This window comes from Homo sapiens, chromosome X, assembly GCF_000001405.40.
Source record: "Homo sapiens chromosome X, GRCh38.p14 Primary Assembly".
Classification (NCBI taxonomy): Eukaryota; Metazoa; Chordata; class Mammalia; order Primates; family Hominidae; genus Homo; species Homo sapiens.
The window spans coordinates 136,645,994-136,661,939 of NC_000023.11; the positions used below are offsets into that span (position 1 = coordinate 136,645,994).

At 41.4% G+C, this 15,946-nt stretch overlaps 1 protein-coding gene across 1 annotated transcript, besides 1 other annotated feature; it reads left to right on the top strand.

The window, feature by feature from the left end:
- Positions 2,165-14,397, top strand: CD40LG (CD40 ligand). Its single transcript, NM_000074.3, has 5 exons — positions 2,165-2,411; positions 4,273-4,404; positions 8,380-8,437; positions 10,363-10,425; positions 13,046-14,397. Exons 1-5 carry the CDS (start codon positions 2,256-2,258, stop codon positions 13,420-13,422), a joined length of 786 nt encoding a protein of 261 aa, NP_000065.1. The 5' UTR covers positions 2,165-2,255; the 3' UTR covers positions 13,423-14,397.
- Positions 12,314-12,363: a silencer, noted in NCBI's record as "silent region_21028". NCBI's record gives its function as "represses an Ori minimal core promoter by ATAC-STARR-seq in GM12878 lymphoblastoid cells {active_cell/tissue: GM12878}" and the evidence as "EXISTENCE:reporter gene assay evidence [ECO:0000049][PMID:35858748]".

A 15,946-nucleotide genomic window follows, 5' to 3' on the forward strand; every position in this document is an offset into this window, starting at 1 on the left:
AGATGGCTTTGGGATATCCAAGTAGAGATTTTCAGAGGTAGCTGTGCTTACAACTCTGAAGTTCAGGACTTCAGTTATAGATTTGAGATTTATCACAATGAAGGTGAGATTGAAACCCATGAAAGTTCATGAAACCCATGAATCACCCAATGAAACCATGGAGAACAAGAAGAGAGGGGAGGAGAGGAGAAGGGAGAAGGAAAGGAAATAGAGAGAAGGAATACCAAAGTTTTAAGGGATACAAAGAGGAAAGAAGATAACATGAAGAAGGATTCTGAGAGGCAGAAGCCCTTAAGAATAGGGTGATATAGAATTCAAGTGGGGAGAGCATTCAGGAAGATGACAACAGGATAATAGGTCAACAGAGTAATAGAGAGGTCGCTAAAAATAAACTCTAAGAAGTATTCAGCCAAAACTATTATTGAGCTAATAATGGTGGGATCAATTTCAGGGGAATATTGTGGGCAGAAGTCAGACTGTAGGAGGCTGGGGATCAAGAAGTTGAGGCAAGGAGGTTGGACAACAACTGTTTTTTCAAGTTGGTCACGTGAACAAATCTGTGACCTTCAGCCTCCCCTCCCTCGGGTCTTGGCTGAGCTGATTGCAGGGCCCCTGCAGCTCTGGCACTCTCAAGTTGTATAAAACTGACAGTGCAGAAGTCCTTGAGCCCATTTTGGCTCTCATGATAATTTTCCTTCAGTGGAACTAAGGTTACTTGTCTAAGAACCAAAGCCTCTGACTTGACTGATCAAAGTTCATCACGTGCATCGAAGCCACCTACTTGGCAGATGTAGTGAAAAGCTACATAGATCTGGGCCCAGGACAGGATGCTGGGGCGTGGGAGGGGAAGAAAGCAGGTGCTAACTATATAGATAGCATGCCTATCAGAGCAGTTTTTACGTTTCCTATTTGTCTCTCAAAACAATTTTATAGGAATCATCAAAGCAATTTTATCATGGTTTCTAGACCAGGTTTGGATGTGAGGTAGGGATTTCCACAGCTGCTTTTAGTTTGAAGGAAATCTGATAAGATGATGCAAAAGCCCTTCAGAAATGTGTAATCCTACACACTTCAGTGATTCAATTCATTGTCAAAACTTAAGGTGTTTTTAATATTGTTATTGTTCATTTGGTTTTTACCAACATGTAAGGAGTTGGCAATTATTTGTTAAACTCATGTCTTAGGCTAAATAAATTCCAAAAAATTCAGGATGAGAATTGTTTATTGCTTAACGTGTTTCAAATTTCTTCCATGCACATCTTTATTAGATCTTCACAGCAACCTACAGGATAAGCAAGACAGGTGCAAGTGCCTCCTTTGGGTATGAGGAAACTGAGGTCTAAAGAGATGAAGTGATTTGCCCAAGGCTCATAGCAATTTATTGGTAGAGCAAAGACTAGAATTCAGATCTCTTAACTGCAGCCTATTTTCCCTATTCTGAACTGTTACATCAGCATCAACAATTATCTAATGGATTGGAACAGTGTACACAGGCAGCTTAGCTACGTCAAGTCACGATTTTTACTTTAACTTCAATTCCAGAGTCTTGGCCTGATTTCCCTCAAGACCCTACTTATCTTTGCCTTTGCAAAATTTATTTTTCTTGCATTATCTTTCCAGCTAAATTTTATTTAATAACCATCAGCATGCTTTTTTTGCTTTATGCCATGTAGACTTGACCTGAAAACCTGCCAGGCTTTCATTGAGTTTAGTGATTAAAGAAGTAAAGTTCTGAGAAGCAATTAGTTGATGGGACACCAGTCATAAAATCAATCCAAACTTTTGTTGACATGTGTTTCTTTCTCCATATACCAGGTTCCCGCTTCGTATTAGTAAGATTGAAATTGAAATAAGTCTATTGCTGGTGGATGAATTTGTCACTTTCCTTGAAACTGGTGAACCCAAAAAGTTAGACAGTGATAGGAAAATACTGCCATTGTCTGTTAAGAAGTCTATGACATTTCAAGGCAAGAATGAATATATGGAAGAAGAAACTTGTTTCTTCTTTACTTACAAAAAGGAAAGCCTGGAAGTGAATGATATGGGTATAATTAAAAAAAAAAAAAAAAACAAAAAACCTTTACGTAACGTTTTTGCTGGGAGAGAAGACTACGAAGCACATTTTCCAGGAAGTGTGGGCTGCAACGATTGTGCGCTCTTAACTAATCCTGAGTAAGGTGGCCACTTTGACAGTCTTCTCATGCTGCCTCTGCCACCTTCTCTGCCAGAAGATACCATTTCAACTTTAACACAGCATGATCGAAACATACAACCAAACTTCTCCCCGATCTGCGGCCACTGGACTGCCCATCAGCATGAAAATTTTTATGTATTTACTTACTGTTTTTCTTATCACCCAGATGATTGGGTCAGCACTTTTTGCTGTGTATCTTCATAGAAGGTTGGACAAGGTAAGATGAACCACAAGCCTTTATTAACTAAATTTGGGGTCCTTACTAATTCATAGGTTGGTTCTACCCAAATGATGGATGATGGTAGAAACCAAATAGAAGAATGGTCTTGTGGCATAATGTTTGTTGCCTAGTCAATGAAGTCTCATATTCTTGTCTCTGGTTAGGATCTTGGGATCTGGAGTCAGACTGCCTGGGTTCAAATCTTGGCTCTGCCCATACCATCTCTGTTATCCTGGGGCAAGTGCCTCAGTTTCCACATCTGAGAAATGGGGATGGTATTGGTGTCCATTTCATAGATTAAGTGAGTTTAGCCTTGTAAAAAGCTTAGGAGGGGGTCTGATACATAGTAAGCACTATGTACGCACTAGCTATAATTATTTGCTAAAGTTCTGCTTTAAAAGTAAGCTATTTTTTTATGGAGACAGCTTTTTTCTTTTAAATTTCCAGCTAGGCAAGAAGAGCGTCAATTTGATCTAAAATTTCATAATGCTTCAGATTAACATAGACATGGATAAGTCCCAGAATTTGCAGTCTTTTAGTAAAAGTAGCATTTTCTGTGTAATTCTTCACAAGCACTGATTGTAGTTGCAGGATGCTCAGTCTCCCTCTGAGATGTTTTACATTTTTAAATGGTTAGACTTGCAGGAACAAAAGAGCAGAGTAACTTAGTAGGCTGTTTTGCATTCTTAGGAAAAGAAAACCATCAGGACTTATTTTGTTTTCATGTATTTTTTCACTTCCACTGAGGAGTATAATTGGCTGGTGTTGACAAAATACCAATCATAGATGTAAAGGAGAAAGTTGATTAGTTTTCTGGCTGTTCCTAAAATTCTGGATGCAGGAACTGTGGCTAGAAAGCATCTGGATGATTGCACTTTATCAGGGATACTTGAGTGTCCTCTCTTAGGATCTGGACCTAGAATTAATGTCATGAGATTTTTCTAACAGGATAAGGTGAGGTAGTGAGGGCTGAAGTCATCCACTGGGTTATCCAAATATTAGGTTTCACTGCTGACAAAAGAGGGGGCTTCTGGTCTGGTTGGTTATTTGTGTTTGGCCTGATGTGCTCTGTCAATCAAATGTATGGACATAGGCCTAGCTTCTAAAGGGGCAATAGTGACCTCAGTGGACTGATATTTACCGTACTATTTACATGTGCTCTTAATTACAGCAGAAGCTGCCAGCTAACTGAATCTTGTTTTGAATCTAAAAAATCTACTCTTAAAGCAAGAAAATGGTATAAAATTAGTTGATAATGCAAGTGAATTCTGTACATTTAATTATTCTAAGACATTGGAAAATAAAATATCTTGTTACTTTGAGGATAAAAGATGATTTCTTTAAAAATGCAAATGTTTTCTACAAATACTAAAGTTAAAAGGGAGAGAGATGTAATTAGAACTCGTTAACTGACACATTGCAAATTAACTTCTTTTTATAAAGCACTGCATCACAAACACTAAAATGAAGTGGGCAAATTAGCTCTGCAGAAAACTATTTTCTAGGCTGATGTTTATAATGACCAATCATTACTGAAGCAATGAGAAATGTGACAATTACAGAATATTGCTGCTATAGTATGTTGAAAAAATATGCATTTTGTAGTGAACATTTAGTAGAATAGCTCTGATTTCTACCTGGAGTTTCTGATAACATGACATCTTAATTGCTGTCTTTTATAGATTTTTAAACTGCAAATACAAAATAGCAATCAGCCAATATAATAACTTATTATTCTCCATTTATGCCTGAAAGTCCTCCTCTTGTTGATGCCGTGGAAATGAATGTAGAGGCAGATATCATTAGCTGTATTCTCCTTCCGAATGACATTTATCATATCCTTGTTATTCCAAAATAGATAGAAGATGAAAGGAATCTTCATGAAGATTTTGTATTCATGAAAACGATACAGAGATGCAACACAGGAGAAAGATCCTTATCCTTACTGAACTGTGAGGAGATTAAAAGCCAGTTTGAAGGCTTTGTGAAGGTAAGCAGCTTAATTACTGGTAAAAGTGTCATTGAAATATTTTACTACATTTGCTAGATCGGGAAACTGACAATGCCAATGTTTAAAGATTGGTTATAGACACAGACACACAGACACACACACACATATATATGCATGCAGATATACACACATACATGGGTGTGTGTGTGGGGGTTAAAAAAAAAAAACACAAAGACACTCTCTGGGGAAAATACACCCTTAGGGGCACAGTCACACATATTTGTCAGCTTACATATGCAGCTACCACTAGGCAAAATGATGAAGTCCACCAAGCTTGGTTTTTGCATTGCTGTGTCTCCCCATCCAAACCTTGATGCTCTCGCACTGGGGACCCAGAGTCTGATCCCCATTTCCCAGGGAAGCAATAGCCGTCAACAGCTGCCGTGGCAGCAGGCCACAAGTGAAGGGACACCTGAAGACTGGTAACAGTCTCTGGTGCTTCTCTGATGATGGAATTTTAGGTGTCCTGACAGTGAGATCTTTCCCTTTTACTGGGGAGAGAGGTGCAGGGAATAAGTAATAGACATTCTCAGTGTCGCTCAAACCAGACTCCATATAATATCACTTGCTCATGAAGCCCGCCCACTCTATGGCCGGTCATGACCAGAGGCACAGAGGGTTCAAAGCCTTTTAGCCCACCAGGCTGGTAGCTAGCATGAAGTCACTGCAGTGACTGTGGCTTATAACAGATACCTAAAACAAGAATTTTTAGAACCTTTACATTAATTCCATCATCACAGACATAGGGTCTAGGGGCTCTTTCTCCTGAGGCAGAACATCAAGAGTTCTTTCTGCCTATGTCCCTTTCAGAACACTGAGTCAAATACCCTTGGGCCTCGGCTCACTTAGGGGTCATTTCTAGGAGGCAGCACTCCACATTGAGGACAGTTCTGGGCCAGGTGGGTGGGTATCTGGGTAAACCAACAGGAATTAGTTCTCACATATAGATGATGTGTAATTTAATGCAGGCGTAAAAGGGTTAAGATCTTATTTCTGATCTTATTTCTGCCCTCCTGTACTGTCACCGAGGTGCCATTTAATTCATTAGTGAAGACTCTAACAGCTTATTCCTGAGTCACCTACGGAGAACAGAATGTGGCTCAAATCCGCTGCTTGCTTTCAGGTTCTTTACACTAATCTAGGCTTTAGATGAAACTCCTAAACCCTTTCTTTGCAAGACTGGCCAGCTAGGAAAATGATTTGAGTTTCTTCGGTTCTTCGAGGATTTGGGCCAGTATTACAGAGTATTGGAAGATGTTACCAGTTTAAATGTGAATAAAGGCACTTTCAAAACAATGGCTAATAATCCAAATAACAGACTGAATGTGCTTGGCTATGTGACTTTGGGTAAATAACTTCACCTTTCTGGGCCTCAGTTTTGTCATCTATAACATGAGAAGACAGATTATCTGTAAGGGCACTATCAGCTCTGACATTCTACAATTATGTGATAAGCCTTCAGTTCCCTCCAATGGCAGTGAGAGTGGCTTGTCAGTCCCCCTCGTTTCTTACGGAGACTTTTACGGTTGAATTGTCAATTCCTCACGTCATTATTTCAGGTTGGCTATGTATGTAAAGCTCCCAAAATCAGCTACCGAGGATAGGAGTAAAGAAAACAGTCAGTTTGGCCTCCCTGCTTATGCTTGTATGAAAAAAGTGACAGCTCCAAAGTTTCATATTCTTAAAAGGCAGATCTTCTCAGGCATGTCAGCCAGGGCCCCAGGGATCTCCTCCTTACATGCAACTAAGGAGGCTCCTTGTCTCTACTGCAGCAGGTGTGGAACCCTAGTCAACACCACCTATACCTAGGATTACGTACAATGAGTAGATACAAAGTCCTCCAGCTACCCAATCCTCCCCCAATGACGGATCCCCTTTCCAATACGCTTTCCCCCAAATTTCTCACCCTAAAACAAAATTCGAGACTTTGAAAAAACTCAATAGGACAATTATAGAATAGCTCCAGATTAGATTCATATTTTCTTAGCTAATGTTAGTAGGCTTTCTTTCCGGGCCACAGTCTGGCTGCACCTAAGCAACCTCAAGTTTGAATTTGGAGTCTTTGAATCAGGTCTTGATGGGGTCTTAGAAGTCATCAGATCCAATTCTCAATCCACAACTTCAGTCTTCTCTCCACCTCCTGACTAAGTGGTCATCCAATCTCTGTTTGAACATCTCTAGTGACAAGGAACTCATTATCTCTGGAGGCAGGTAGCACTAATCTGTCATTTTGGGGGAAAGATGGTATTCAGGGCTCAAGTGAGGGTAAGCAGAGGTATTATTTTGAATAGTATAATTTCATATTAAAACTTACAACCCACCACACCTCTGCTAGATGTTCAGTTCCATGATTATTTGCCCACCAATGCCTGCGATGCCTTTGAGAGAGCCAAAGCATTTCTATTTCAAGTTAAAGGGCAACCTGTCCATACCTGCCACATGGAACTCCCACTAAGAGAGAAATAACCCATTCTGGATTTTCTGAAAGTCCACTTTAAAAAGTATTTCAGTTGAGGTGGGGAGTGAAGCAAGAAAAAAAAAAGGCTCTGGGGAGTGTGGTTGGGCGAAAGTTCACGGAAAGGCTAGGCTGGGCTCATGAAACACGAGCTTTGCTGACTTCATGTTTTCATCTTGGCCAGGCCTCAACACCAATGCAACAACTTAGCCTAAAAGTATCTCAACCTTGATCACCACACTCTACTTTTTGAAAAGACACTAAATAGTCATTTGTTTACTTGTGATCTCACAAACATTTTCCTGTCACCACATCTTCATAGTGCCGCGCTTCAGCTCAAATGGAAAGTTGAAGCTCTGGGGCCCATGTGAGTGTTCTGAGGCTCAGGTTCCCCTGGAGGCTCTATGAACTACGCCCTTAAATCTGGCAACTGAGCTGGGCCTACAGCCAGCACTCAACAGTGACAGCACAAATTCCTTCTGGAGGAGGAAATAAAAGGAAGGGTCCTATAGACAACTGATTCCAGGAGTGGGAAGGAGCACAGGACTTTGATTATCATAAGATGTGAAAATACTACTGTCTTCTTCCCTTGTGTGCAGAGGATAGACAGATGGAATTAGCTAAGCCCAGCCTATGAATGCCATCTCACAGTTTCCACTCTTGGTTTAAACCTCAGCTTCTTTGGGTGACCTCATAATGACCAGTTAAGCCCTCCAGGCCTTTTGTTCAGTCTCTTTAAAATGGCAGCAACAGCCTTTATCATCTTCCAACCTGTGTTGATGGAAGTTCCTGTTAGCTTCTTTAAATACCTCTAGACTTCCTTCAGTTTATAAGTGAAAAGAAACCTTTTAAGAAGTGTCGCACTTGCCTTTGAACATCAACACCATTGGGAGATGGCCTGTGTTTCCGAAATGCTGATTATTCTAAGTAAATACAGTGCAACTATCAATAAGAGAATCTCTTCAGCCCATTGAAAGGGATAGCAAAATTAAAAATGTCTGAGGGTCTTTTCATAGTCTGGCATTTCTCCCCAAGGTCAAACTTACTATTATCTTTTCCTACAGGATTTCAGACCAAATTTATTCTAATAGATACACACCATGCTTTATGTTTAATAATATTCCATATACCAGTTCCCAGGGTAGAATCATCTCCCCATTCGGCATTATTTGTCAATATCTGTCAAAGCCAAGGAGGTTGAGGTCATAGGAAGGGTCAGGATCACAGCCTCTGGTCTGGAGAGAGCACTGGAATGGAGATAATAAGGCCTGGATTTTACTTCCAGATTCTCCCCTGGGCTTTCTGGGTTGTTGGCTCATCTGTCAGATCCATGGACTCCCAATTGGCATGATGGAATTAATGACAGGATCTGAGTCTATATGATAATCCTCACCAGAAACAGACAACAGAGTAATGACAGATGCAAAACGAATGATAATTTTAAAACCCCACAGCAGAGCCCCTGTCAAAATGACCTCTTGCAATGCTTCTTATTTTAGGATATAATGTTAAACAAAGAGGAGACGAAGAAAGAAAACAGCTTTGAAATGCAAAAAGGTAGGTTTGCTATTTGCTAATTTCTATGAATGCCTAAAAACTAAAAGGAAGCTTTAGGCTGATCATATTGAACAACCCAGTGTTGTTGCATCAGGGAACTTTTAGCCCTGGAAATAAAACAGGAACACAATTGTCAAATTGACACCTTCTCTGGTCCCTGTGATTTGGAAAGACTTTGTACATATATATTTATGAAAAAAGGATGTGTTCCTTTAATGCCGATGATACCAAATCTGAAGAAATCCCATTATGTTCAATACCTTAATAGAAGCAACCATACAGCCTGATACCACCTACAGTGGAATAAGAAGACAGGAAAGTCATCATTTGGTAACAGTGGCATTCATCACTCATTGATAACAGTTTTTCATGGGGCACAGTGGCCGGTGGAGCCTCTGGGATCAAGGAGTGACAATGTCACAGTGTTCTATTATTTGCCCGGTTCTTAAAGTGAGAGCATCCTGAACATCTCAGGGTTGGAAGAGAACTTGAGAGTTCTCAAATCCAGCACCATCCCCACAACAAAAATCTCCTTCACAATAACACTGACCGTCCAGCCTCTGATCAAACATGTCGAGGGATGAGGCACCTTCCACCTCATAAGGCAGCCTGATCCGTCTTTGAATGGCTCTAATAATACCAAGATTACTATACTACTCCAGAGAAGTCTTTCCTCCTCAAGTCAAACTTTGTTCCTATAATCTCCACTCATTGGTCCCAGTTCTGCTCTTTGAGGCCCTAGTAAACAAAGTATAATTGCTCTCCTACCCAGCAGCTGTCCAGATATGGAAGACAGCAATCATGGTGGCCAAGCCTTGACTGAGCTTTTTCTTCTCCAGGCTAAAGATCCCTGATGTCTTCCACTGTTTCTCCTATGACCCTTTCCAGGACCTTTCTTCTGCCACTCACCTCCTTTTCTTGGACACACTAACGTTTTCCTGTTCTTTTAGAATGTGGCATCGCAAACCAATACAATAATGCGTGAAGTGACTTCAGCAGCAGATTATGGGAAAGACGGGGTGTTGTTAGAGAGAATTTTATATCACAAAGTTGGTGAACATGATGTTATGGCTTCTGCAAATTTAATACACACAAAAACATACATACATACAGGGATAGAGATACTATTTTCTGAGGCAAAGAGAGTACTCAGACCTTGCCTTAACTGTTGTTCTGGATACTAAATGGTCATCCGACTTCCATGAAGGTTTTATCTTCAGAATGACTGCAAGATATGTTGAGTAATAGTACCACGCTGTCTGTTAATTACAGAGAAATCTGAGGAAACAGTTTATGTAGATGCTGCCTAGAAGTCTTCAGGGAAATGATAATATTAACCAAACTGGTCATTTAGGTCATGCAATTTAACTCAACATTTATAGGGCACTTACAAAGTGCCCAATATCAGGCTCATAACTGGACAAAAAGAAACTTCCACACAGTCTCTGCCCTTAGAAGATTGACACATCTCATTAGGGAGCAGGGCTTTAACACAAGAAATAATTAAAGACAGATACAATAGTTCAGCCAGTTGCTTGACCAATTCAGAAACCATAAGAATCTTACTAAGTGTGCAGACTTTGGAGCCCACTAAAATCCCCAGTGTATGGAGTTGTTCCTAAAAGCAAGATTCACGGTATGTTTAATGAAGACCAGTGTTTTTAGCCTGTGTCAATCTATGCAAAATGGAATCGAGTATTGATCAACTGTTAGGAGAATGAGACCGATGGAAACAGCCAATTCAATTACTCAGATATTAGAAACCAACTTTTCCTTCAGTGGGAGAGATGTCAGACCATTTTATCTTTCCTTTTATATAATCTATTTTTGCACAGTCTCTATTACACAGTTGTAGAACTGGACCAGATAGTTTTGTGGGCAGTTTTTGCATTATTTTAGCCTGACAGTTTTTGGTTCCATTTCAGGTGATCAGAATCCTCAAATTGCGGCACATGTCATAAGTGAGGCCAGCAGTAAAACAACATCTGGTAAGTCACACAGCATCTGAGCGGTAGCCACCCAAGGGGAAAGGCTGGGATGCCGAAGTCATGTTACCTAATGGTTAAACTCCTCTTTTCCCCTGGGACCCAATTTACAAACCTACCCCTACACTTCTCCTATTCCCTTCTTTGTCTTCAAAGTGAGTTCAAATGCACAGATGGGACTTAGAGGGACAAAAGGAGGTGGAATGCAATCTGGATGTTCTCATTATGTTCTTGCTCAATGGCTGATTCTAAATGATGAATTACTGGGTGGAGGGACCATTGTTCTGACAACATAGAAGAAATGGCATGTAGTGACCTCCTGACTGGGAGCATCCCTCCTCCTAACCCATCTTCACTGTGTGGAAATGGGCCTCATGGGGTATTTCCTGCCATCTGTCAATCCCTGTATGATTAAGCTCAGCCTCACTGAGGCCAACCTCAGGGAAAGTAAAGGTAAAATCATTCTGTAAAGATCAATAGGTCCCAAGACGTTACATTTTCCAATGAAGTAACAACAGACGACATATTGTGATCTTTTCAACTCTGAACGATTTTATTTCCATATACGTTCTGCCACCATTCTAGCCTTTAGATATTTTTTCCCAAATGTGCATCTTGCGATAACTGGTGCCAAAGAATATGTCGTATCTGATAAATGGATGGAAACATGCACGCTAACATAAAGTCTCCCATCAACATAAAGGCAAGAGCGTCAGAGGAGTCTTTGAAAAATTCTACAGAGTGCTCCGGAATGGAGTTCTAAGCAGTGCATGTGTGTGTGCATATGTGTATGTGTGTGACAGGGAGAGAAAGAGAGATGGACAGAGAGAGAAAAAAGACACTGCTTCATCTCTGAAGTGGCTTGGGCTTCTCAGTAGGCGTAACACATGGACAGTTATCATTATCATGGATCATGGTACCAAAGTAAGAGCACTGAATAGGGAGTTTTTGAACACTGGGATTCAAGGACCATGACCACTGCTTGCTGGGTGACCTTGAGCAAGACCCTTTACCTATGCAGCAGTTTTCTACTTCACCTACTTTACAGGGTGGCTTTGAGCATCAAATCAGCTAATGTGGCCGAAAGTGATGCTGTCGAGTGCTGTACAACCGTAAGGTGACACTACTTAGTTTACTTCACCATGGCTTAGATGTCAAAAGGGTGACATAAAGCCCCTCACTAATACCAGTTAGTTACACAATATTTAATAATTTTGTCAAGTACCCCTTCTCTCTTCTGGATCAGATGACAACAACAGAGAAATCTCCTAGAAGAATAGCTTCCCACTGGTCTTTTTTTGCCTGTATCTAAACCCTTGATCTTGGATATATTTCATAGAGCTCAGATTCTCCCAAAAGGCTTGTAATGGATATCAGTCCTACAATATCTTACAGTCTGCATCACAATAGGTTTCCAGGGGATCAGATGGGAAGACAGTAACATTCCACCCCCACCCCAGTCCCAAACCTCTTCTTCCTACCTAGCCATGCTGCTAAAATCTTGCCCTACATCCCACAGCAAGTACTAAAATTAGGTAAGGACGTACCAAAGTAAACTTACTGAACTAAAAGATTGAGAACCTGCCCTTTTTTTCTCAATAAAATGGTTCAAAAGGGCAAACATTCTAATGAAGCATTGTTTCTGGAGTGGTCTGGAGGGCCCGGATCTGTCAGGCATTTCAGGATGCCTCCCTATTAGTAAAGGGCGAGTCTTACCAGGTGGGATCTTGTGCCCTGATAGACCTAAGACTATCGAATAGGAATTATTTTTTAAAAAGCTCAAGGAAGCAAACACATCAGTACTTTCACTTTTCCTCAACCCTCACCCCCATCAGTCAGTCTAGCTTTCTGTGGGAGCTGAGATTTCAAGTCGGGTGCACACACTACTTTGAACCCACTCAACATCTCAGCCGAGAAAATGGCACACTGTTGGTGGGTACTCTGGCTTAGCCACAAGAATACTGGTACTTTCAAGTTGGTGGCGCCCACTACAATGGGAGATCAAAACATACCGTGAAATGAGCACACAGTTTATTTTCATACTTCCTTGCCTAATTTTAGTCCTTGCTGGGGGAGGCAGATCAGGTTTGCAACAGCATGATCAGGTAGGAAGAAATGGGGTCTTTTCTCTGTGCTGAGGCTGAGCTAGGTAGACTGACAACTCTCTGACTTTGTAAAATTCAAGGCAAGCAAGGTATTCATGGTAATATTAGCAAAAATTTGGTCCGAGTAATTTGGTATGTATAATTTATGATGTCAAATTTTGAAATCATTTGTGCCTTCTTAAGTTCAAGGCAAATTGGCTATAAGAACTCTAACGAGAGAAAGAAACTCACTGTGATCTCTTACTTTATTTAATCTTCACAAGTCTCTGAAATATGCTCCAATATGAGCCCCGTGTTGCAGATGAGGAACTGAAGCTCATGGAGATTTAGAGACTTGCCCAAGCTTAAATAGAGCCTAGATTGGAACATGGCTCTGTCTGACTCTGAAGCCCATGGAAGGGGCCTTGAGAATCCATCCCTATACAAAGCCAATATCCAACATTAAACTATATTTTTTGTCAGAATGTGAACCATGCTCTGCTTCACCTCACCACAAACTTTCCCTTTCTTTGTAACAGTGTTACAGTGGGCTGAAAAAGGATACTACACCATGAGCAACAACTTGGTAACCCTGGAAAATGGGAAACAGCTGACCGTTAAAAGACAAGGACTCTATTATATCTATGCCCAAGTCACCTTCTGTTCCAATCGGGAAGCTTCGAGTCAAGCTCCATTTATAGCCAGCCTCTGCCTAAAGTCCCCCGGTAGATTCGAGAGAATCTTACTCAGAGCTGCAAATACCCACAGTTCCGCCAAACCTTGCGGGCAACAATCCATTCACTTGGGAGGAGTATTTGAATTGCAACCAGGTGCTTCGGTGTTTGTCAATGTGACTGATCCAAGCCAAGTGAGCCATGGCACTGGCTTCACGTCCTTTGGCTTACTCAAACTCTGAACAGTGTCACCTTGCAGGCTGTGGTGGAGCTGACGCTGGGAGTCTTCATAATACAGCACAGCGGTTAAGCCCACCCCCTGTTAACTGCCTATTTATAACCCTAGGATCCTCCTTATGGAGAACTATTTATTATACACTCCAAGGCATGTAGAACTGTAATAAGTGAATTACAGGTCACATGAAACCAAAACGGGCCCTGCTCCATAAGAGCTTATATATCTGAAGCAGCAACCCCACTGATGCAGACATCCAGAGAGTCCTATGAAAAGACAAGGCCATTATGCACAGGTTGAATTCTGAGTAAACAGCAGATAACTTGCCAAGTTCAGTTTTGTTTCTTTGCGTGCAGTGTCTTTCCATGGATAATGCATTTGATTTATCAGTGAAGATGCAGAAGGGAAATGGGGAGCCTCAGCTCACATTCAGTTATGGTTGACTCTGGGTTCCTATGGCCTTGTTGGAGGGGGCCAGGCTCTAGAACGTCTAACACAGTGGAGAACCGAAACCCCCCCCCCCCCCCCGCCACCCTCTCGGACAGTTATTCATTCTCTTTCAATCTCTCTCTCTCCATCTCTCTCTTTCAGTCTCTCTCTCTCAACCTCTTTCTTCCAATCTCTCTTTCTCAATCTCTCTGTTTCCCTTTGTCAGTCTCTTCCCTCCCCCAGTCTCTCTTCTCAATCCCCCTTTCTAACACACACACACACACACACACACACACACACACACACACACACACACACACAGAGTCAGGCCGTTGCTAGTCAGTTCTCTTCTTTCCACCCTGTCCCTATCTCTACCACTATAGATGAGGGTGAGGAGTAGGGAGTGCAGCCCTGAGCCTGCCCACTCCTCATTACGAAATGACTGTATTTAAAGGAAATCTATTGTATCTACCTGCAGTCTCCATTGTTTCCAGAGTGAACTTGTAATTATCTTGTTATTTATTTTTTGAATAATAAAGACCTCTTAACATTATCGTTGTTGTTTGAGTACCTAAAGCTCCCAGCCAGGTTGGGGAAAGAGGAAGCATTTGGAGGGAATTTTCCCAACCTTTGTGATGTTTTCATAAACTTTGTTCTCAAGCTACTTACATTATAAAATATCTTGGTGGCAGCACACTTTCTGGAAGTCTGTGACAGCCTTTGATCGATGATGTGCTAGCCTATTCAGTGAAAAGCAATCTAGGTCTTTATTTCCAGCTTCTTCTGAAAAAGTTGCAGGAGATTGAAAGAACTTTTTTTTATTAATCACAGCCAAGTGAGGCTGGAGAGGGTCCTTAAATAAGGAGCAGTGGCATAGCTTATTAATAGCTGTCTAGGTGGTTCCACTTAGGCAAGAGGAAATGGAGCTGAGAAAACCTGAGGGGAAGTATTGGCCCCCCAGTCTTCCACTGAAGTCAATGGAGCCATTTCTTGTCACCTCCAACAGAGGAATTTTTCATGTAAGAAACCCAGAGTGGTGTGTTCATCTTTACCGGGTAAGTCCTACATGCTCACTGTTGGTTATCTCCCTGGGCTCATGGTTTTAACTTAGCAGCATCTTCAAGCCACTAATGCCATGCCTTTTGTTCTCAACTGTCTCCTAGAATTTGCCTGCATCTCCAAAGGGTGGGCCTAGTTCCTCAAACCCAGTACATTCCAACCGAACTCTTAACTTTTCCCCCCACACAATGGGATCTGTGTTCAATGTTTCCCAGTCCAATGAATGGTGTCTTTATCTACCCAGTTTTTCAAGTCAGAAACCTGGCTTGACTTCACTCTCATCACCCCCATGTTCAATCCCTCCAGCCTATGCTCATCAACCCTATCTCTTAAGTAGTCCTTAATCTACTTCTTTCTATCTCTACTATTTCTATCCTAGTCCCAACTGTCACCATCTCTCTTCTGGAATAGTACAACAGCCTCCTAGATTCCCTGCCTCCACTCTTGCTCCCTTCCATCAATTCTCCATGCACAGCCAGTCCCCTGCTTCTTATGAACCTTGGAATAAAGACCAAAATAATCAATTTCATCTCCTGCTGCCACCTCTCTCGGTCTCTTAAGTTCTAGCCCTCAGTTCCTCTAAGCAAGGTTACAAATGCTTTCCTACCTTAGGGCCCTGGAATGCTGTTTTCTCTTCTTGCAAGACCCATTTCTCTCCCTCACTGCACCCTGCACTTAGCAAGTGCTTCACAGCACTTATCATGGTTGAAGTTTTCCCTACTATGCTGTGAGCTTCTTGAGGACCAAGACCTTGTCCCATTCACCATGATAACTTCAGCGTCTACCACAGGACCTAGCATTGAATTGGCCCTTTATTTGGTGCATGAAGGAATAAATGAATGAATAAATACAGCTGCTTATAACTCAATAGCCCAGAAAATAATTCTGTGTGTTGGCTGAGGCAAAAATTTGCTACACTGAAAGGATCCTCATTAGGTCAAAAATATCTGGATGATAAAAATGCACTCATGGAGTAAAAAATGACTGAGAATTATGCTGTAGCTAAAAACAGATAATATGTTTTTATTATACATTTCATGATA

Bases quoted from the DNA above. Each gene is read 5' to 3' on its own strand.
- CD40LG (NM_000074.3), top strand. From the start codon at position 2,256: ATGATCGAAACATACAACCAAACTTCTCCCCGATCTGCGGCCACTGGA. The intron at 2,412-4,272 runs GTAAGATGAACC...ATTCCAAAATAG, and splicing joins TTCATAGAAGGTTGGACAAG to ATAGAAGATGAAAGGAATCT. The intron at 10,426-13,045 runs GTAAGTCACACA...TCTTTGTAACAG, and splicing joins CAGCAGTAAAACAACATCTG to TGTTACAGTGGGCTGAAAAA.